At 36.7% G+C, this 23,498-nt stretch overlaps 1 protein-coding gene across 21 annotated transcripts in view, besides 3 other annotated features; it reads left to right on the top strand.

The window, feature by feature from the left end:
• DDX60L (DExD/H-box 60 like) overlaps nucleotides 1-22,967 on the top strand; it is a 123,758-nt gene extending 100,791 nt beyond the window's left edge. For 20 of the 21 annotated variants that reach the window (XM_047416399.1, XM_005263341.5, XM_011532403.3 and 17 more), the window contains 7 exons: nucleotides 198-339; nucleotides 1,227-1,348; nucleotides 4,178-4,325; nucleotides 5,894-6,036; nucleotides 7,939-8,090; nucleotides 18,491-18,553; nucleotides 21,426-22,967. In XM_047416399.1, coding sequence (XP_047272355.1) covers nucleotides 198-339; nucleotides 1,227-1,348; nucleotides 4,178-4,325; nucleotides 5,894-6,036; nucleotides 7,939-8,090; nucleotides 18,491-18,553; nucleotides 21,426-21,555 — 900 coding nt within the window. In that variant the 3' untranslated portion in view covers nucleotides 21,556-22,967. Of the gene's footprint in view, nucleotides 1-197; nucleotides 340-1,226; nucleotides 1,349-1,858; nucleotides 1,975-4,177; nucleotides 4,326-5,893; nucleotides 6,037-7,938; nucleotides 8,091-18,490; nucleotides 18,554-21,425 lie in introns of those variants that run through there. The other variant, XM_047416402.1, reaches the window with a different exon arrangement.
• Nucleotides 318-487: an enhancer, noted in NCBI's record as "experimental_76113 CRE fragment used in MPRA reporter constructs". NCBI's record gives its function as "activates a minimal promoter by MPRAs in K562 erythroleukemia cells, with activity observed for the non-introgressed 4:169300451 variant allele {active_cell/tissue: K562}" and the evidence as "EXISTENCE:reporter gene assay evidence [ECO:0000049][PMID:34662402]".
• Nucleotides 2,951-3,120: an enhancer, noted in NCBI's record as "experimental_76110 CRE fragment used in MPRA reporter constructs". NCBI's record gives its function as "activates a minimal promoter by MPRAs in K562 erythroleukemia cells, with activity observed for both the introgressed and non-introgressed 4:169297818 variant alleles {active_cell/tissue: K562}" and the evidence as "EXISTENCE:reporter gene assay evidence [ECO:0000049][PMID:34662402]".
• Nucleotides 15,637-15,806: an enhancer, noted in NCBI's record as "experimental_76106 CRE fragment used in MPRA reporter constructs". NCBI's record gives its function as "activates a minimal promoter by MPRAs in K562 erythroleukemia cells, with activity observed for both the introgressed and non-introgressed 4:169285132 variant alleles {active_cell/tissue: K562}" and the evidence as "EXISTENCE:reporter gene assay evidence [ECO:0000049][PMID:34662402]".

Below are 23,498 nucleotides of genomic sequence, written 5' to 3'. Positions count from 1 at the left end.
TTCTCTGTAACTAGTACCGTGTAAACTTCTTTCTATGCTAAACCAACTGAAATTTCTATAATCTGCATTCAATGATAATGTTACTTATCATTTATTAATAAATGAAGTCAGGTAATATTTGTCAGTCACTCACACTGGTATTTTATGGTATTTGAGTACATGACAAGTTAAATCAACTTTTTGTTTCTCATTTTTAGGACTATTTAAATAAAAAGGGTAATCCAAAGAAATTTGCAGGACTTGCATCATATTTGCATGGTCATGAACCTTCAAATCTTGTTTTTGTAAATTTTCTCAAGAGAGGCCTTTTCCATAATCTCTGTAAGCCAGCCTGGAAAGGTAAGCTTGGGTTTTATACCTGTAGTCGAAAAATGGCAACATATTTATTGAATAGCCAAAACCGCAGATATGTTTTTCTCTTCTTCCTCCTTCTCATTTATTAAAGCAAATAAATACTAAGTATATGTTCAGATTTACAGATGCCAAAAAATTAGACACTAAAAGTCAACTGATATTTATTCTAATAAAGAGTATTTGAGGGCTACTTATATATTACTTAACTGATAAAGAATATTTGCAGAAGAGAAAACGGAGAAGCATAGAAAGACAATAAGTTTCTGATGGTCATATGATTTTAGTATGCTTCAGAGCCCAGTTAATTAAACCTAGCCACCTTTTAATGCCCACAGTATGGTGCTCATGCGTTATGGGGAGTGGAGAGTAGGTCAAGATGACCAGAACCTAGAGCTAGTGTTTAGAAGTGTTGGTAGGTAAGTTTGGAAGCTTTGTTTTGACAGGATTTGAAACACCCTAAAGAGCAGGCCAAGGAACCTGGATTTTTCAATTAGCCGTTGAGATACCCTCAAAGGTTTTTGAGTAAAGGAGGGATATGTTTATATTCATGCTTTGGAAAGGCTGATCACTCTCAAGATGGCCTGAAGAAAGGAGAGTGCAAGTCAGGAAACCAGTTAGTAAACATTCTGGGGTGGGAACTAGGGCGGGTATAGCAAGGATGGAAAAACAAGGCACAGAATATAAAATCTCCTGTCTTACCCAAAAAAATAAATGTGCACATAGTATTGCAAATATGGTCAATTTCTGAGGTATATATTTGCTAGAAAATTTTGCCTTCAACAAAAGGAAATGTACTATAAAAACAAATTTAGGCAGAAAATAAATGGAATCAACATTATTCTTATTTATAATAATGCTCTTTATTTCAATAGGCTCACAACAATTTTCCCAAGATGTGATGGAAAAGCTCGTGTTAGTATTGGCAAATTTGTTTGGAAGAAAATATATTCCAGCAAAATTCCAAAATGCTAATTTAAGTTTTTCTCAGTCAAAGGTAAAGTTTGTTATACTTACAATGATATAATAATGATAGTTATTAAATGTATGCTACTGGAAAGCATTCAGTACCTATAGGGTTAAATTAATATAAGCTACTCCATTTGTTTTAATAGTGTTGTCTTTTCATAATTAGAGTTCTATTTAATTTTTAGTTCAAACATCTTCCCCTGCTAATCTAACAAACAATTCTTATCCCTAAAGTTTTTTCACTTTATTGGAGCAAATTATGTAATTCAGTAGCAACAGAGATTACATACACAAATAGTCATTTAAATAGAATGACAGCCCTACTGCTGAACCTATAGTTCCATTGGGATTGTTTACAGCTAGGGATGGGAGTGCAGGGAAGGAATTACATTATGACCTCTAATGTCCTCTTCAGACAATATTGAGGTGGTCACCTAAGAAAGAATCCCCTAACTTAAGGGTTGAGAGACTGAAAGAAAAATTATTTTCTAAGTTTTTTTGTAACACTGTTTGTTTCCAATTTCTTATTTTTTTAAAGACACAACAACAAAATAATAACAAGCAAACAGAACCCAAGAAAATGTGCATTAGAACCTGGGAATGTAGAAGAAGCTTGTTTCTATCCAGTAACCCTAGTGAATAGAGAACAAAAAGGTAATTAGCATTAATCTAGGCTTTCTGACCTCACAATGCCTCTGGATATACCTCCAGACCTGAGCACCCAATTTTAGTTACTGACATATATCCACATTGCAAACCACTGGAACTGTTAATCATTTTCTTAAATGCATACACATTTTAAAGTATTTAAAAAGGAAACTTCATATTTACTACTACTGTAAATAGAAAGCCAGGATCTTTGATTTCAAAACTAAGGAAGCCATAAAAATAGATGCAGTTAACATGGTTCTCAGCTGAAGCTTCTCTCTCTTTGCTACAAAAAGAGATTATAAACTTTTAGAGAAACAATGGTGGTCTATTGCCTCTGGACTTTCTAGGGTTATCAGAAAGAATAGAAGAGGACTGGAAAGAAGATATTTTTATTTATTTATTTATTTATTTATTTATTTATTTATTTATTTATTTATTTGAGACAGAGTCTTGCTCACTCACCCAGGCTAGAGTGCAGTGGCGCAATCTCAGCTCACTGCAACTTCCACCTCCCAGGTTCAAGCCATTCTCCTGCCTCAGCCTCCCAAGTAGCTGGGATTACAGGCTTCGCCACCACGCTTGGCTAATTTTTTTGTATTTTTAGTACAGTTGAGGTTTCATCAGGTTGGCCAGGTTGGTTTTAAACTCCTGACCTCAAGTGATGCGCCCGCCTTGGCTTCCCAAAGTGGTGGGATTACAGGCATGAGCCACCATGCCCAGCCCACTTTTTATTTTTTAAAACTGATGTATAATTACTCAATGTTCTGTGTGTCACACTAAATCATCTCATGTACCTCTTATATTATGTACCATAATTTGGGATAACTGCTCTATATTAGTCAATTAGCAAAGATTTATTGAGCAATAAATATGTGTAAACTATAGCAAAAATCATGATTGGGAAACATAGTTGCTACCTTCCAAGAGCTTGCTCTCCTGATGGGGCTGTATAGCATACACATTCGAGAAGGTGGCAAACAACACAAGGTGTACATGGTAAGCAGCACGTGCTGCCCTAGAACGGTGTCCAGCAGTGGCACAATGGCAGGACATGGAAGGCATAGCAGTAAAGAGACCATATCACTTTGACCAGAGTGTAGAGCTGCACCTGTCAATTTATTCTTTTGTCTTGGTCCATCCACAGATGGAGCTGAGTCCGAAGTAGGCTTGTGGAAATTGTCATACTATCCACTGTAAGGAGTTGGTAGGGGCATTCTTTATTATGTCCACACGGTTGCCTTTTGTAAGAATCCCCCTGGAAAATTCTTACCTGATATTAGTGCTGAGAATAAATAGCTGTTTATCTCATAGACATTCTGAAATGTGTCATTCACACTTGCTCCTAGGAATCTTGGAATATAATTTGTGCCCCATTTTAGTCTCTTTCTTGTTTTTCTTTCCTTTTTACCAAATTTTGATTTATATGATCATATTGTATTATCTTTACCCTTATAAAATACCTCAATTATTGGAAAAGTACAGGTTATGAATAAATTAAGGAAAATATCAAATAAATAATAAAACCCATAATTGTAACAGAAGAAAACCAAGAACATTTCTAATGTCATAGCTATTTCTAACTCACACTAAAGAAACTTCTAGTCCTAATTCTGAAAGAATTTGTTTTTAAACATGAAATTTGGAAGCTGAGTTAGCTTGCAATACCAGCTACTTCTCTATCTACTACCTGTCAGGTTTGGAACAAGTTTACCTCTGTGAGGGTTAGCTCCCTCATGTACAAAATGTAGATGAAAATGTTTACTGCATAGGGTTGTTCTCAGGATTAACTGAGCTAACATATAACAAGTGCTTGGGGCAGCAAAGCACAGTGTTGGCACATAATCTGAACTCAATAAAGCATTGACGCTACTACTGCTACACTAACTTGTTACTTGCTCTCTAAATATGTCCCTCAAGTCTCTGAAATATACCTAAGTTTAAGATCAGTGTAGGACATGTTTCTATTAAATTGGTGGTTTTGGCTAAGTGGAGTCAAAATAACTTTTTTAAGGAAAGATACTTACATTTATAAATGTTGGTTGAAATCAAAAGGAAATTTTACCTTAATCTCACAGGTGAGTAAAGTAATCAAGGGTTTTGATGAATGAGCATCAATCTACAGAACTATGCTGCAATCTTATCACCAAGCAGTTTAATTTTTTAAATAAAAGTAAAGAGATCTTTCTGAAATGTATTTCGCCCATAGGTGATCCTTGCCGAACTCCCGGAGGATTTTAAAGCTGCTTTATATGAGTATAACCTGGCAGTAATGAAGGATTTTGCCTCCTTCCTGCTGATTGCTTCCAAGTCGGTGAACATGAAAAAAGAGCATCAACTCCCTTTGTCAAGAATCAGTAAGCAGATTTTAGTTCCATTCCGGAACAATTTAAAGAGTAAACAATCTTGGTTAAGAAAGCCTCTGGATATTGGATGCTTCAAAGCTGGTAAAGGAGCTTATTACAGGGCAGCTGTACTAACCCAAGTGTTTTATCCCCAGAAAACAATTTAGCCCATTGTAGGGTGTGATAATGGCTCTGTTTTCCAATTAAAAAAAAACTTTATAATTACCAAATATTAATTGGGCAATGGAGGAAAAAAAATAAAAGTCATTCATGAACCATTTTGATGGAAAGTTGCCTATCTGTTCAGGTTGGAAAACTGGATCAGAAAAAGTGACAGATGAAAAAGAAAACGGCATAATTTCTGGCATTTTTTTCCCCTGAGGGGCAGTTGCATAGTGGTTACAAATGTGAACACTGGCAGCAGAATGCCAAGGTCTAAATCCTGGCTCTGCTACTTATTAACCATGAGGTCTCATGCCAGTTACTTAATCTTTCTGTGTCTCATTTTTTTAATCTGTAAAATGAAATGACTAAAAATATTACCTAGCTTACAGAATTTTAGAGGATTAGGTATATTAATGTTTATAAGTTTCTTAAAACAGTGCATAGCACATAGTCAACATCGCGTAAGTCTATTCTACCCAACATGGTAGCCACCAGCTAGCTACGTGTCACTATTTAAATTAAGTTGATTAAAAATAAAACAATTGAAAAGTTAATTCTTTAGTCACTTTAGCTTTAGTCACGTTAACTTTCCAGTGCTAGTGGCTTCTACTTTGGACACAGTAGAGGTAGAATATTTCCATCATTACGGAAAGTTCTAGCAGACGTTGCAAATATCATTCTTTGCTTCAATTATTTGTTCTTGATTGAGGAGTAACTGGTATTGCAAAGTAACTAAGCTTCCAAATTTCAATTTTATAGCGGGAAACTTTTAGGGGAGAATAAATGGAAAGAAGCTAGACTAAGAGTAAAGAGTGGAGCCATAAAATGATTCCCATATTCCCCTGTCTCCTAATATAGTCATAGTTGGAGTAAAAGACAGGGAGGTAAGCATTGTAGCTACTCAAGATTTGTTGATGTAGGACACAGCATGAGCAAATGCAGACAATAATGGTGGAAGCAAGGAAAGTAGTGCAGAGAAAAGATGATGGGAGTGTGTGATTGTGTCGTGATGGGAAAAACGAGCCAGACCTGAGTGCATGACTTGGTGCCTTCCAAGTCCAGCGAGATGGTACTCGCTGGACAGAACCTCTGTTTTATCTCTTATGCCAGCTCCAAATCCACTGGTAGGAGCTGCCTGAACATCATGTCTAGGAGGTTTCTGAGGTTATATCTGAGTTCATAGGCAAAAATAACAGGTAATAAAAAAGAGTAATGATAATAAGTTAATAGTCAACATGGATTGAATGATTACTCTGTGCCAAGCTGTGTTAATGACTTTATGCACCATATCTCAATCAGTTTTCATTCTGATGAGATGAATGTCACCTACTGTGGCTTGACCTACAGTGAGTTTGAAAGGGTTAACATTTGGGCTGATTTTTAAAACCTAACGTGACCTAGTCCAAAATGGTCAGAATTCACAGGTAAAGAATGTGAAGACTCCCAACTCGTGTCTCACTTGATGAGCTGCAAGAAAGGAAGAGTAGCCATTTCACCATTTGTTTGTCTTTCGGGGAACACAGATAATGATTTGCTTCGACCAGAGACTATCAACCAGGTAAGTGAAGGATACATCTTATGTACAAAATGTGTTTAACAGACAGAGTGGGGTTACATTGCTGTGAAGCCTTGATAGGACCTCAAACCCAAAACACTGAAAAATGTCCACTGATGAGCATCATTGTCTAAGAGAATGAAGCCCTGGAGGCCAGTGTGATTTATGCTCTATGGAGTTGGCCTGAGAAACCCTGCTTCTTTGTCTAAAATTTCAGACACCACTGTTTTTTCTCATTTTTTTAAATGAGGTTTGCCACAGGTTTGCTGTGGGAAGAGGAAAAGAAAGCGGCTCACATTTTTCTAAAATTGATCATAGACCTCATAGTGCTTTTCTACTCCAGACCACATGGATCTTTGGGGACAGTGGTCTACAAAGGGGGCCACAAAGCATTAGAACCTCTGGGAGGTTCTGGATAAAATATTAGGGTGCTGGAAGATTTTAGATTTAATTTGAAATATGAGAAATAAATTCCACATTGAATATATTTAATAATAAAGATTGACACTGTGCACTGGCTTATTTTATCCCTGGGTCAGAGAGTCACACATCATGTCAAATATGGTCTTCAAGTATTTTTGCATATGTAACGTTTAAAGGAATTTTAAAAAATCGTGAATCTTCTTGCACAGTTTGGGTTGATATCTAAAAATTTTGTTAACCAAAATTTTAATAGCTGCTAATGCAATTTCAGGTTCATTATAAATATTGACATTTTAAAAGAACTGTTAAATTATTTAAAAGTTTATCCAAAAGAATATAGATATCAAAGCTATTTGATACCCAAAGTAAACAAATAGAAAAGAACACAGATGATCAAACAACTTCTTCAAAGTTACAAATTCTACATTATGTATTTTTCTCATTGAACTTTTGTATCTTCCCTTCCCTTCCCTCCCCTCCCCTTCCCTCGACTCCCCTCCCTTTCCCCACTTTTTATTTGTGACAGGGTCTCACTCTCTTGCCCAGGCTGGAGTGCAGTGGCACTATCTCGGCTCACTGCATCCTCAACTTCCGGGGCTCAGGTGATCCTCCCACCTCAGTCTCCCATATACCTGGAACTACACGCACGTGCCAGCATGCCCAGCTAATTTTTTATATTTTTAGTAGAGATGGGTTTTCAGCATATTGCCCAGTCTGATCTTGAACTCCTGGGCCCAAGCAATCCACCCACCTCAGCTTCCCAGAGTGCTAGGATTACAGGCATGAGCCACCATGCCTGGCCTGAACTTGTATTTTTATTCCAACTTGCTCCACAGTTTAATTTTACCCATGCACTGGCAGAATTTGCAGATTCCTTCTGATTCTGTACAGATTAATTTGTCTAATGTGCCCAGAACCACGGAGACTTAGTTTTTGTTTGTTTGTTTTGCTTCTCTTCATTTTCTCCTCTTCTGCCTCCTCCTCTGCCACTTTTTTCTTCTCTCTGGAGCCCAGAGGTTTGTGCTGTTTCATTTTATTCTCCCTGTGAGCACAGGGAGACACTAGCTACATGACACTCCTTTCAAGGTCATTCTGTGCACCAATGAAGATAACGATGAAAATTCTACCTTAAAATCAGCTTCTATTTATTTTTCCTTAGTGAATGTTGCTAACAGTATTGTAGTTGGATGGTTGAAATTGCCTTCAGTATGCTTTGAGAGTTCCTATTTCCCTCAGCGGTGCTGCCCATTCCCGAGGCATGCTTAGTGTCACAGTGGCCAGTGTCTGTAACACGCCCTTTCCCTCACTGTAATGGGCCCTATTTCCCTCAACCCCCATGGGAATCCCCCTCTGCCTGCCTCCTTCACTTCAACTTCTTCAGAACGTACTTTAAGAAACAGATTCATACAAAGGAAATCTCAAACTGCAAACAGTTACTCTTTACATATCAGTAATGAAGTAATAGAAAATGTCTTTCTTCAGGTCATCCTGCGCACAGTCGGTGTTAGTGGCACTCAGGCTCCTCTGCTGTGGCCATGGAAATTAGATAACCGAGGAAGGAGAATGCCACTAAATGCATATGTGCTCAATTTCTATAAACACAACTGCTTGACAAGATTAGACCAAAAAAATGGGTAAGTTTATGGGTATGTTTCTGTAAAATATATACATACATATATATCTATGTTTTATTATTGTATATTCATATTATATATGTAACAGCATATAATTTACATTATATAGTTATATAAACATAAATTTATATTATATATTTTTAAATAGAAATTTTAATACCTAATCTTTTAAGAGTTTAAAATACAGATGAATCATAAAAATCATACTAGATCACTTCGTAGAAGACTGATTTCTGGTGATTAGAAACTCCAGTATTATTTGGGATTTTGGGGCTACTACCAAAATTTTGGCACTTGAACTAGTTCTGGTGAATGTAATTCTGAAGACAGAAAATTTGGATATATTACAAAGCTCAAAAAGATATTTTAATTATACTAACATTTCTCTTAATATGATTTAGTAATAAACTATACTAAATTATTAGTATAATTTACCGTTACACTAATTATTCATTAAGAAAGAATGTTGATTTCTAGGAGTATATAAAATATTATTTTTTATGAAATAAATTAATATTTTTAATGAAATAAATCTTTTTTATGAAATAAATTAATATTTATTTTTTTCCCACAAATGTGACATGGAGGGAAAAGATCTGAAAGTTACATTTTGAGAAAGTTAACTTAGCTGGTGTCTGCTAGAAAGTGACACTTGTTCTAGTTCTTTGACATGGAAAACATTTTACAAAGCAGTAAAGAAGGATGAATACTTAGAATTCACATGGAACGTGAAGAATTTAGCCATGGAAACAAGTAGGTAGAAATGGGGAAAGTCATGCTTTTAAACAGTGATTCAGGAATTCTATATGTATTTTACATACATTTTTAAATAATTCTGATAAAAATAAGTTTTAAATATTTAAATGCTGTTCTTTTTAAAGTTTATAAATTGACATATTGTAACTGCACATATATATAGGATACAGTTTGATATTGTGAAACATACATGTTGCATAATGATCAAATCAGGTTAGCCAGGGTACCCATCACCTTATGCACTTATCATTTTTTTGTGGTGAGAATGTTCAAAACCTCTCTTCTGGCTACTTTGTAATCTACAATACAATGCTGTTAACTATACGTACCTTACTGTGCAATAAAACACTAGAACTTATTCCTCCTATCTACTTACTGTAATTTTGTACATGTTGATCAACCTCTGCCCACCTTCTCCTTTCTCTTCCCCTCCCCAATCTTTGTAACCATTATTCTACCCTCTACTTCTATTGTATTAATTTTTCTTCTTTTTAAACTTTACATGTGAGTGATATCATGCAATATTTTTCTTTCTGTCTCTGGATTATTTCACTTAACATAATGTCCTCCAGATTGATTCATGTTGCCACAAATGACAGGATTTCATTCCTTTTTATGGCTGAATAGTATCTAATTGTGTATATGTACCACATTTTCTTTATCTGTTCATCCACTGTTGGACACTTAAGTTGATTCCATATCATAGCTATTGTAAATAGTGTGGCAATAAGGATGGGAGTGCAGATATCTCTTTGACATACTGATTTAATTTCTTTGGATATATATCTAGTAGTGGGATTGCTTGATCTTATCGTAATTCTAGTTTTAATGTTTTGAAGAATTTACACACTGTTTTCCATAATGGATATACTCATTTATAATCCTACCCACAGCATGTAAGGGTTCCCTTTCCGTCACATTCACACCAACACTTGCTTTCTTTTGTCTTTTTATTATTAATAGCCATGCTAACTAGAGTGAGGTGGTATTTGATGGTGGTTTTGATTGGCATTTTATGATGATTAGTGATAGTGAACATTTTTTCATATACCTGTTGGCCTTTTGTATACTTTCTGTTGAGAAATGTCTATTAAAGTTTTTTGCCCATTTTTAAATAGATTTTTTTTGCTGTTATGTTTCTTATGTATTCTGGATATGAATCTTTTGTCTGATGTATAGTGTGTCGATATTTTTCTCCCATCTTATAGGTTATCTCTCCACTCTGTTGTTTTCTTTACTGTGGAAAACTTTTTAGTTTGATGTAATCTCTTTTGTCTATTTTTGCTTTTATTGCTTCTGTTTTTGAGATCTTATTTAAAAAATCCTTGCCCAGTCCAATATCATGAAGTTTTTCTGCTGTTTTTTTTTTTTTGTTTTTTTTAAATGGCTGTATTAGTTTGTTTTCACACTGCCGATAAAGACATACCCAAGACTGGGCAATTTAAAAAGAAAGGGGTTTATTTGACCTACAGTTCCGCAACCTCACAATCATGATGGAAGTTGAAAGACATGTCTCACATGGCCGCAGACAAGAGAAGAGAGCATGTGCAGGGAAACTCCCATTTTTAAAACCATCAGACCTTGTGAGACTCATTCACTATCAGGAGAACAGCTCAGGAAAGACCTGCCCCCATAATTCAGTCACCTCGCACCGGGTTCCTCCCATGACACATGGGAATTGTGGGAGTTACAATTCAAGATAAGATTTGGGTGGGGACACAGGCAAACTATATCATTCTGCCCCTGGCCCCTCCCAAATCTCATGTCCTCACATTTCAAAACCAATCATGCCTTCCCAGCAGTCCCCCAGAGTCTTAACTCATTTCAGCATTAACTCAAAAGTCTACTGTACAATGTCTTATCTGATACAAGGCAAGTCCATTCCATCTATGAGCCTGTAAAATCAAAAGCAAGTTAGTTACTTCCTAGATACAGTGGGGGTATGAGGATTGGGTAAATACAGCCATTCCAAATGGGAGAAATTGGCCAAAACAAAGGGGCTACAGGCCCCATGCAACTTGAAATCCAGCAGGGCAGTCAAATCTTAAAGCTCCAAAATGATCTCTTTTGACTCCATGTCTTGCATCCGAGCCATGCTGATGCAAGAGGTGGGTTTCCATAGTCTTGGGCAGCTCCACCCCTTTGGCTTTGCAGGGTACAGCCTCCCTCCTGGCTGCTTTCACAGGCTGGCATTGAGTGTCTGTGGCTTTTCCAGGTGCACAGTGCAAGCTTTCAGTGGGTCTACCATTCTGGGGTACAGAGGATAGTGGCCCTCTTCTCACAGCTCCACTAGGCAGTGCCCCACTTAGGATTCTGCGTGGGGGCTCTGACCCCACATTTTCCTTCTTCACTGCCTGAGAACAGGTTCTCCATGGGGGCCCTGCTCCTGCAGCAAACTTCTGCCTGGGCATCCAGGCGTTTCCATACATCTTCTGAAATCTAGGCAGGGGTTCCCAAATCTCAATTATTGACTTCTGTGCACCTGCAGGCTGAACACCATGTGGAAGCTACCAAGGCTTGGGGCTTGCACCCTTTGGAGCCATGGCTCAAGCTCTACATTAGCCTTTTTCAGCCATGGCTGGAGCAGCTGGGATGCAGGGCACAAAGTCCCTAGGCTGCACACAGCACAGGGACCCTGGGCCTGGCCCATGAAACCACTTTTTCCTCCTGGGTTTCCAGACCTCTGATGGGAGGGTCTGCCATGAAGACCTCTGCCACATCCTGGAGACATTTACCCCGTTGTCTTGGGGATTAACGTTAGGCTCCTTGTTACTTATGCAAATTTCTGCAGCTGGCTTAAATTTCTCCTCAGAAAATGGAATTTTCTTTTCTATTGCATTGCCAAGCTGCAAATTTTCCAAACTGTTATGCTCTGCTTCTCTTATAAAACTGAATGCCTTTAACAGTACCCAAGTCACCTCTTGAATGCTTTGCTGCTTAGAAATTTCTTTCTCCAGGTACCCTAAATCATCTCTCTCAAGTTCTAAGTTCCATAAATCTCTAGGGCAGGGGCAAAATGCTGCCAGTCTCTTTGCTAAAACATACAAGAGCTACCTTTGCTCCAGTTCCCAATAAGTTCCTCATTTCCATCTGAGACCACCTTAGACTGGACTTTATTGTCCATATTGCTATCAGCATTTTGGGCAAAGCCATTCAGCAAGTCTTTAGGAAGTTCCAAACTTTCCCACGTTTTCCTATCTTCTTCTGAGCTTTCCAAACTGTTTCAACCTCTGCCTGTTACCCAGTTCCAAAGTCACTTCCACATTTTCAGTTATCTTTTCAGCAGCACCCCACTCTACTGGTACCAATTTACTGTGTTAGTTCATTTTCACACTGCTGATAAAGACATGCCCAAGACTGGACAACTTACAAAAGAAAAAGTTTTATTGGACTTAGAGTTCCATAGGGCTGTGGAGACCTTACCATCATGGCAGAAGGTGAAAGGCACGTCTCACATGGTGGCAGATGAGAAAAGAGAGCTTATACAGGGACATTCCTGTTTTTAAAACCATCAGGTCTCATGAGACTCATTCACTATCAGAAGAACAGTGCAGAAAAGACCCGCCCTCATAAATCAATAACCTCCCACTGGGTTCCTCCCACGACATGTGGTAATTGTGGGAGTTAAGATTCATGATGAGATTTGTGTGGAGACACAGCCAAACCATATTGTTTCATAGTTTCAGGTTTTACATTTAAGTCTTTAACCATTTTGAGTAGATTTTTGTATATGGTGAGAAGTAGGAGTCTAGTCTCATTCTTGTGCATGTGTATATCTAATTTTCCCAGCATCATATATTGACATATTAGCATATTATATTATGCTATTATATTTAATATGTTATTAACATATTAACATATAACATATCAGCATAACCTATTAAACACATATATAATAGCATATAATATATTAACATATAATATAATGGCATAACATATTAAACACACATTCCCTTTTCCCTCGTGTGTGTTCTTGGCACACATGAGGGAAAAGCTAATTTATAAAAAATCAGTTGGGTGTAAATGTGTGGATTTATTTCTGGGTTTTCTACTGTTTCATTGGTCAAAGTATGTGGTTTTTATGATGGAATCATACTGTTTTGTTTATGATAGCTTTGTAGTATATAGTGTGTTGAAGTCAGTGTGATGCCTCTAGCTGCATTCTTTTTGCTGAGGATTGCTTTGCATATTTGGGACTTTTTGTGGTTTCCTACAAATTTTAGGATTTTTTTTCCTATTTTTGTAAAAAATGTCATTGGTATTTTAATGGAGATTGTATTAAATTTATAGATCATTTTGGGTAGTGTGGCCATTTTAACAATACTATTTTTTTCATTCCCTGAACGTGGAATATCTTTTCATTTCTTAGTGTCCTCTTTAATTTCTTTCATCAATGTTTTACAGTTTTCAGTGTAGAGATCTTTTACCTTCTTGTTTATTTATTATCTAATTTTTTGTAGCTATTGTAAATGAATTTGTTTTAAAAAAACTTTTTATTTTCAGACAGTTTGCTATTATTGCATAGAAACACTACTGATTTTTGTGTGTTAATTTTGTATCCTGCAAATTTATATTGTTTGTTGATCAGTTCTAGCAGTTTTTCATTAAGTCTTTAGGGTTTCCTGTATATAAGATCTTGTCTGAAAACAGGGACAATCTGACTTTTTCCTTTCCGATTTGGATGTCTTTAATTATTTATTCTCTTGTCTGCTTGCCCTGGCTAGGACTACTAGTACTATGTTGAATAAAAATGGTGAAAGTCGGCATCCTTGTCTTATTCCTGATCGTATGATGTTAGCTATGGATTTGTCATATATGGCTTTTATTGTGTTGACGTACATATCTTCTATACCTAATTTGTTAAGAGTTTTTATTATGAAGGGATGTTTTGAATTTTGTCAAATGCCTTTTCTGTATCTATCAAAAGATCATATGGTTTTTGTTTTCCTGTTAATGCTATTTATCTCATTTATTGATTTGCATATATTGCACTATCCTTGCATTCCCTGGATAAATCCCCCTTGATCTTATTGAATGACATTTTTAATGTGCTTTTGAATTTGGTTTGCTAGTATCTTGTTGAGAATTTTTGGATTTGTGTTTATCAGAGATATTGGCCTATAATTTTTGTTGTTGTTGCTGTATCCTTATCTGGTTTTGGAGTCAGAATAATGTTGGTCTTGTAAAAAAAATTTGGAAGTAGTCCCTCCTCTTAAATTCCCTTAATAGCTTGAAGAGGATTGGTATTAGTCTTCTTTAAATGTTTGGTAGAATTCAGCAGTGAAGCCATTAAGTCGTGGGCTTTTTTTTTTTTCTGATGAAAAACTTATGATTACTAGTTCAATTTCTTCTCTCATTACTGCTCTGTTTAGATTTTCTATTTCTTCTTTATTTAATTTTGGGAAGTTGTATATGTCCAGGAACTTAGCCATTTCTCCCATGTTATCAAATGTGTTAGTGTATAGTTGTTGATAATAGTATCTTATTATTTTTTGTACTTCTGTGGAACTGTTGTAATGTCTCCTTTTTAATATCTAATTTTATTTATTTTAGTCTTCCCTCTTTTTTCTTAGTCTAGCTAAAGGTTTATCAATTTTGTTTATCTTTTTAAAACCATCTTCATTTCACTGACCTTTCAAATTGCATTTTTTGCCTCTATTTTGTTTACGTCTGCTTCTTTAAGCTTTATTCTTTCCTTCTACCAGTTTTGGGTTTAGTTTGTTCTTGTATATTAAGTTTCTTGAGGTGCATCATTTGGTTGTTTAGTAAAAATGTTTCTTCTTTTTTGATTTAGGCCTTTATTGCTATAAATTCCATTTTAAAACTGCTTTTTCTGTGTTCCATAAGTTTTGTTATAATGTGTTTCCATTCTCATTTGTCTTAAGAAATATTTAAGTTTCCCTTTTAATTTGCTTATTGATCTGTTGGGTTTTTTTTAAGAGTAGTTGTTTAATTTCCATGTATTTGTAAATTTTCCAGAGCATTTCTTGTTGCTGATTTCTAGTTTCATACCATTTTGCTCAGAAAAGTTACTTGATATGATCTCTATATTCTTAAATTTGTTCAGACTTGTTTGGTGATCAAACATATGATCTATCCAAGAGAATGTTCCATGTACGGTTGAGAAAAATGTGCATTCTGAAGCTGTTGGACAGAATATTCTGTAAAAAATATCAGCCAGGCACAGTGGCCCACACCTGTAATCCCAGCACTTTGGGAGGTTGAGGTGGGATGATCACTTGAGGTCAGGAGTTCAAGACCAGCCTAGGCATCACAGCAAGACCCTGTCTCTAAAAAAAGGCTGTTAGGTCAATTTGGTCTATGGTGCAGTTTAATTCTGATGATTCCTTGTTATTTTTTCGCCTGGATGACCCATTCATTGTTGAAAGTGGGATGTTGAAGTCCCTAATATTATTATACTGCAGTTTGTCTCTCCTTTTAGATCTAATAATAATTGCTTTATATATTTGGATGTTTTGGTATATAGAATTACAATGCTATATCCTCTTGTTGAATTGATTCCTTTATCATTATATAATGACTTTGTCCTTTTTATAGTTTTTGTCTTAAAGTTCATTTTATCTGATATAAGTATTGCTACTCCTGCTCACTTTTGATTTCTCTTTGCATGGGATATCTTTGTCCCTTCCTTCACTTTCATTCTATGCTTGTCTTTAATGGTGAGGTGATTCTGTAGTAGTCAGCATACAATTGTACATTGAGTTAATTTTTTTAAGAGATGGAGTCTCTCTCTGTCACTGGGGCTGGAGTACAGTGGCACAATCATAGCTCACTGCAGCCTCCAACTCCTGGGTTCATTCAGTCCTCCCAGCTCAGCCTCCTGAGTAGCTAGGACTACAGGTGCACACCACCACACCTGGCTAATTTTTTATTTTTCTTTTTTGTACAGACAGGGTTTTACTCTGTTACCTTTAAAATAAAATCCATTCACTCTGTATCTTTTAACTGGAGACTTTATTTATTTTCGAGGTAATTATAAGTAGGTAAGAACTTACATCTGCCATTTTGTTCATTGTTTTCTGGTCGTTTTGTAGATTCTTTGTTCCTTTATTCCTCTCTTGTTGTTTATGTCTGTGGTTTGGTGGTTTTCTGTGGTGCTAAGCTTTATTTTCTTCTTTTTTCTCATTTGTGTGCCTGCTCTAAGTTCTTTCTTTGTGGTTATCATGTGCTAACATAAAGAGTCTTGTAGTTATAATAGACTATTTTATGCTGATAACAACTTGACTTTGGTCACATAAAAATATTTTAGACTTTCTTGCTTCCCCACAATAATTTCTGTTTTTGTTGACTTAATTTACATCTTTATCTATTGTGTATTCTTTAGTCATTAATTGTAGGTGTTGTTGTTTTTTGACCATTTTGACTTAAAGCTTTCGGACTAGAGAACTGAAGGATTTCCGTAGCACCCAGACAGCATGAGGTTATTCTGAATTTGATTACGAATTTACTTCTATCGATGAGTTTTAATCTTTCAAATATTTTTGTGATAGTAATGATCATTCTTTCATTTTTAGTTGTAGCATTCACTTAAGAATTTCTTGTAAGCCTAGACTAGTAGTGATAAATTTCCTCAGCTTTTGCTTGTCTGGGAAGATCTTTATTTCTCCTTCATTTCTGAAGGATAGCTTTCCTGGATGTAGTATTCTTGACTGACTTTTCTTTTTCTTTCAGCGCTTTGAATATATCATTCCATTCTTTCCTGGCCTGTGAGGTTTCTGCTGGGAATCTGCTGATAGTCTCATGAGGATTCCGTTATGTGTGACTTGATGCTTTTCTCTTCAGCATTTAGAATTCTTTGTCTTTGACTTTTGACAGTTTGGTTATAATGTGCCTCAGAGAGTATCTTTGTGGGTTGAAACTAATTGGGGACTTTTGAGCTTCTTAGATGCATATATCTCCCAAGACATGGGAAGTTTTCAGCTATTATTTTGTTAATAATAATAACAAAATATCTCTCTACTTCTCCCTCTGGTGCCCCTATAAGGTGAATATTTGTTCATTTAATGGTGTCCCATAAGTCCTATATGGTTTCTTAATTCCTTTTTATTCTTTTTCCCTCTTTGACTGGTTATTTCAAAAGACCAGTCTTCAAATTCAGAAATTATTTCTTTAGCTTGATCTAGTCTGTTGCTAAAGCTCTCATTCTTTTAAAACTTAATGCATTGAATTCTTTAGCTCCACGATTTTTTTGGTTCTTTTGTATGATATCTACAGGAGGATAGGCTACAGATGTTGGTGGTATGGTTTTGGTGGGGGCAGGGGCACTGAGCTGGTTATTTGGGGCAGGAATATTTTGGTTCAGTGTGCCAGCAGGCTGTATGGTGGACTCTCCAGAGAAGTGAGGCTATCACCAGGCTGGCTCTTGAGCTGGGTATCTGTGGGTGCAGTGAGCCAGCCAGCTGTGCAGTAGTGTCTCTGGAGGAGGTAAGACCACTGTTGGACTGCTGTTGGTTTGAGTGCAGGCATATGTGGGCTGGCCAGCTGTGTGGCAGTGTCTATGGGGAGGTCGGGCTGCTGTTGAACTGGATATTGGGCCAAGTGCATGTGTAGTGGGACTGCTGGCTGTGTGGCAGTGTCCCTGGGAAGGTGAGGCCTCTGCTGAACTGGCTGTCAGGCCAGGCACATGCAAATGCATGCTGGGCTGACTGGCATGCCGCAGTCTTTTCAGGAGGTGGGGCCACCTCTGCCCTGGCTGCCAGGCTTGGCATGGGTTGGTGCAGGCATGGTGGTTTTTCTGGCTGCGCAGCACGAGTATGCACTGGTGCAGTGGCCTGGCCACCTGTTCAGTGGTTTTCTTGCTGTGCATGTCTGCCTTTTCCCCAGTGGGTGGTGGGCTGCCACATAGCTTTGGATGTGAAATGATAGTGGGGCTTCAGGGATGGAGAGAGAGATTGGCTACTGGCCTTCAAAATGTCATCATGCCATAGCTGCTTAGGTCATGAAGGAGGAGATACACAATGTGGGCTCTTACTCTGGGGCAACGAAACTACTTAAACTTCTGGCAACTCTCCAAAATAGATTCTGGGCCTGTGAGGACTGGGAGACTCTCTTGTAGCAAGAACTGCTGGCATCTGTGATGGCTGTGGAAACCGCTGGAAGTCTTTTGCATACCATTTTCCTGTAGGAAGAAGCCACCCTGACTCCCAGTCATTTCTGGTAGGAGAGACAGTGTGGCAGAGGCATCTTGCATCTTGTTCAATGTTCTCCTATTCTTGACAAATCTTGAGCTACATCTGTTTTTCTTAGGTCTAGTTCTTAGTTATGAAGAACTAAGAAAGTAGAAATAGAACTAAGAAAGTAGAAGAAGTAAGTAGAAATAATATTAGTCTATCAACTTGTTTTGTTTTCACTTTAATCTGTAGTCCTCATTGACCCTTCTATGCTTTACTTTTATATTTCACCCTCCCCCTTTGATAATGGTCAAATTATCTCTTTAATAATTTTTTTTGTGGTTTTTACCTATGCCTCTCAATTTCATTATGATTAATACAATAGAATGCTTAACTGGGAGTGCATTTGGCAGATAAATTAACTGCCATGGACAGACCACTATTAAAGTTTGAGTTAATTCTTTTATGTTTATGTTTTTATACTTTTTAATTAAGAAATGTTGTTCTCTTTAGGATGCGTATGGGACAGCTTTTAAAGTGTTTGAAAGATTTTGCATTCAACATTCAGGCTATCAGGTATGTTTCATGCTGAGTTTGATTTTCTCAATTATTTAATGATAGTTTAGCAAACATATAGCTCTTCCTTTGTGTAAGTTTGTGATTCTCATGAAGGAGCACTCTGAAGATACTATTGAGCCTCCCAGGTTCTCTACAATTCAGCTATCCAAAGGCTCTGTAGACCCATTCCTCAGGACACTGTCACGCTGTTTTTTTTGTATTAAGATTCATCTCAAATCCATTTGTAATTGAATTTCATTCGGATCAGAGCCTGGAAGGCTCTTCCTCATGACTTCATAAATCTCCAGGCCTCGCTATATTCTCACTATACTCAATTTCTACAAATGCTGAGCAGTCACACTGAGTCAGATAAATGACTTCAGTAGGTCTCTGGTTTATATCCACTTCAAAGCAGTTAAATCTTTCTCGTACCCAGTGCCTTTCCCAGACTCTGGCAGCTCCCATTGATTTCCTATGTTCATCTGCCCAATGCTCAACAGAGACCCAAGCAAATATGAACTCTATGTGGGCACTCCTTTCTCTATGCTCCATTGGTCATCCAGTTTTTGTCTAGCTCCATTTTCCTTACCTCTAGTCCTTACTTCTTTATCAAGTGTATGTGGTTTTTCACGTAAATTCAGTTTTGGAAGGAGAATATTTATTTAGAGTTCCTTGTTAGTGAGGACATATTTGTGGTTTTCCTTGGTCTGAGCCGAGTCTGACCCTTTGGGAAGCTTTCTACAAAGAGTGAAAGTCTTAGGATGACCCTCCTTTGCCCACTTGGAGTATCTCTACATAAAGGATTCCTCAAGTGGCTTATAGCTACCAAAGCTACAACCTCTTTGAGTAGCCTGAGAAACTTTGGAGATTTTAAATGTATCTCAAGAGTTTAAACAGGAAAAATAATTCCTTCATTCATTTATCAATTATAAAAGTATCAAGGTCTTACTGTGTTAGAGGCACTCTTCCAGGCACTTCAATGTCATGGGAGAAACTTTCTTGTAGACAGTCATATGTGGTAAGTGCTATGATTGAGTTATACACAAAATACTAAGATAACATAAATAACTTTATGATTAATGCTACTATAATCGGAAAAAGCATTATAGAAGATGTAATTTCCAATCAGGTCTTAAAGGAGAAGTGAAAATTCATTAAGTAGATTAATTATACTTAATATAATTCTAGTTAATTAGGATAATTAAGTAGAATAATTAGGGTAGTCAGATTTTAAGCAGGGAGAATAGTGTATCCAAATGTGCAGAAATATTAAAGGTCCTGATGTATTCGGGGATAGGCCCCAAGCTAATGATGGTGGAGTACAGAATGTGGAGGTTGTGACAGGGACTGGGGAAAATGCTGAGAAGTGAGTGTGGAGTCTTTGAAAGGAATTTGGTTGTATATGCGAAGGGTCTTATTTGTTAGGCAATGAAGTTTGGATTTAAAATGGTAGACAAAGGTGAGACAAATGGTAGACAAAGGGGAGTTTCTAAGGATGAGTACGACATAGATCTATGTTTTAGAGATATTATTCTGGCAGGGTATATAGATTAACTCAAGAGGTAGAGAAACTGAAAGCAGGGAGCTAAAGCTGGAGGCTATACCCATATTCCAGGTGAGAGAAAATGAAGGCTTGAATTAGGCAGTGGTGGTAGAAATGAATGATAAGGATTGGAGAAATATTTAAGAGGAGGAATTCATGCAATGGGGAAAGAGATATTATGACAAATTGGGTTTCTAATTTGGTTAATGATAGTGTTAATGAAAGTAGGGAATACATGATGATGACTTCAGAACTGACAATAAAAAAGTATGAGTTGGAATTTAAAATGTCACATGTGTTGTCTATAAGACATCCAGGGGGAAATGTTCAGCAGTCAATAGAATAATATGTCTGAAACTCTGGAGGAATTTCAGACTTAGAGATAAAGATGTGATCATTCCTAATATTCAGCCACTGAGGACTAGTAAAAAACTGAAACTCTGCTCTAGAGTGAATAAGGTGGAGCATGAAAACGAAAAGGATGGCAAAATGTCAAATCCCAATTGATTGCAATGCTCGAATAGCATGTCAGGTAGCTGAGGGACTCACTTTTCTATGTCTCCTCTCATTCACCCCAGCTTCTATCCTAAGATATATGGATAGGGACAGAATTTTTTTCCACTGAATTGGGTGACTGTGGGTTTTTAAAAATAATTGTCCCTATATTAGGAAGTCCATATGGCTTTCATGAGATGTGTAAAGAGAAGAAAAGAAGTTGAATAACACTTCTAGGTTCTAAGAATATGGAATTCTGTGGTCTTACAAACTCACAGAGCAAGTTTAGGTGTAATATAAAGAGGAACTGTGGCCGGACACGGTGGCCCACGCCTGTAATCCCAGCACTTTGAGAGGCCGAGGCGGGTGGATCACGAGGTCAGGAGTTCAAGACCAGCCTGGCCAAGATGGTGAAACCCTGTCGCTACTAAAAATATAAAAATTAGCCGGGTGCCTATAATCCCAGCTACTCAGGAGGCTGAGGCAGAGAATTGCTTGAACCCAGGAGGCAGAGGTTGCAGTGAGCCGAGATCAGATCACGCCACTGCACTCCAACCTGGGCAACAGAGCGAGACTCTGTCTCAAAAAAAAAAAAAAAAAAAAAGAAAAAGAAAAAAGAAAAAAAGAAGAACTGTGTGAAGGTATATATCTTTATCTTTCTCAAGATACATGATGTATGTTGTAAAGATTTTACAAGATAACTGTGCATTTTATTAATATTCTGCGTACTTTTTCTCCATATTTACATCTGATAGATTTTGGGGGGAATTACTTCTGCTAACCTTTTAATAATATTGATTGTTATAAAAATGTGGGCTCATTATTTTTTTATTATTATTATCATTTATACAGTGACTCCTTGAGTGAACTATGTGAAAATAAGCGTGACAATGTAGTCCTGGCATTTAAACAATTGAGTCAAACCTTTTATGAGAAACTTCAAGAAATGCAAATTCAAATGAGTCAAAATCATTTAGAATAACACCATGGAAAACTTTCAAGTCTGATTATGTGGTATTTATCCCTTTGCAAGGAGAGATATAATTAAGCTTACACAATGAAATGGAAAAAATGTTTGTCTTGGAGTCAAACAGAATTAAACTCAGATATCAGCTCTGCTATTTTCTAACTGAATGACTTTAAGTTATGTAATATATCTGAGCTTTAACTTCATTTTTGGCAAAACCGGAGTAAAAATGAATACCTCTAGTTGTTTTGAGGATTAAATGAGATAATGTAAGAAAAGTGATTGGGATTGGGTGGTGACTTAATGAACGGTAGTGGTTTTTTTAGTAGTTAATGTATAGCAAAATTAGTTTCACATTGTCAAGTTTTCAATACATCCCCAAGTTAATTGAATTTTAAATTAATGATCAATAAATCACAAAGGACCCAAATCAATTCTGAACAACAATTTAGTTATGTAAGAAGACTTCTGAGATTACAAGAAACTCACTGCTGTGGACTGGATGTTTGTGCCCTCCCCTCCAAAATTTTTATATTGAAATTCTAACCCTCAATGTGATGGTATTAGGAGATGATAGGTCATGAGGGTGGAGCTCCTTGGATGTAATTAGTGCCTTTAACAGAGAGACAAGAGAGCTTGTTCTCCAATCTCTGCTCACTACCACTGGATGATACAATGGGAAGATGGCCATCTGCAGACCAAGAAGCAAGCCCTCAACAGAACTGAATCTACTTACACCATGATCTTGAACTTTCCAGCCTCCAGGATTGTGAGAAATACATGTTTGTTGTTTAGCCATCTAGTCTGTGGTTTTCTGTTGAAGCAGTCTGAATTGACTAAAACAGTCACTTGGAGTAGTTATAAACCACTTTCCTGTTGAAAGCAGAACATGCTGATTCAACTGTTTTGTTCAATAGCAATGATAGATTTTGTTTAAGTCCCCTACACTTTCTTATTTCTAAATGATCAAGAGTACACTTCCTGGCAGTGATTAAGGAGTGTGTATCTAACAGAAAAAATATATATACCCTGTGAACCCGAATATGGAATTCAGATTGTTTCTGCCCTCAGTATCATACTTAAAAAACAAGCATACAAACAAACATAAGGGAACAAACAGCAACCATAACAAAAACAAACCTTTAAAGGTGCGTTTTTGCTGTGATAAATGAATACGGTACTCTGAAGGAGAAAAAAGTTTCTCAAATGAGCTTAAACTGCAAGTGATTTAAAAATTAGAGAATATAATTCTTAAAGCTATTGAAAGTTTCAACCAGAAAACCTCAAGTGAATTTTGTATGTAAATGAAATCTTGAATGTAAGTTCTGTGATTCTTTAAGCAAACAATTAGCTGAAAACTTGGTATTGTTGTAGTTTATGTAGTAAGTGACTTGGCACCCATCAGAAAATAAAGGGCATTAAATTGATTTACTGTTGTGTTCCTTATGTTAAATCTGTTAGTCCATCCATTTGTAGACACCTACGCATTAGGTATTTTGCTTTCATTGCTATCTATCTTTACTGCAGCCCTAGGTCACATACTACAAAATCTGTTTTAGACCTAGACCTTGAACACAGAGCATTTCTTTCTCAGGGTGAAAGACATAACCTTTTGTATCATCCAGAATGTACCAAGACACCATTTATCATATGGCATTACTTAACAGATACATTACATAGGCTTAGAAAAACACTTTGTCTAGAAATGGAAAAGCCTCTTTTCCTTAGAATTTAACCCAAAATTGGTTTATATTAGTCATGTGCCAAAATCTTACTTGTGACTATTTTCTTAGGGCTAATCCTAAAATTTTTATTTAAAATAAGCACATAGTAACAAACATAGTAGATATTAATCCAGCTTTATAGATAATAACTTTAAATATCAAAGGCTTAAACACAGCAAAAGAGAGATTGTCAGAGTGGATCAAAACACAATAACCAACTATGTGTTGTCTACA

Source organism: Homo sapiens, chromosome 4, assembly GCF_000001405.40.
Source record: "Homo sapiens chromosome 4, GRCh38.p14 Primary Assembly".
In the NCBI taxonomy this organism is placed as follows: domain Eukaryota; kingdom Metazoa; phylum Chordata; class Mammalia; order Primates; family Hominidae; genus Homo; species Homo sapiens.
Note: the sequence above shows the minus strand (reverse complement) of the source record. Positions and strands in the feature narration are given on the sequence as shown.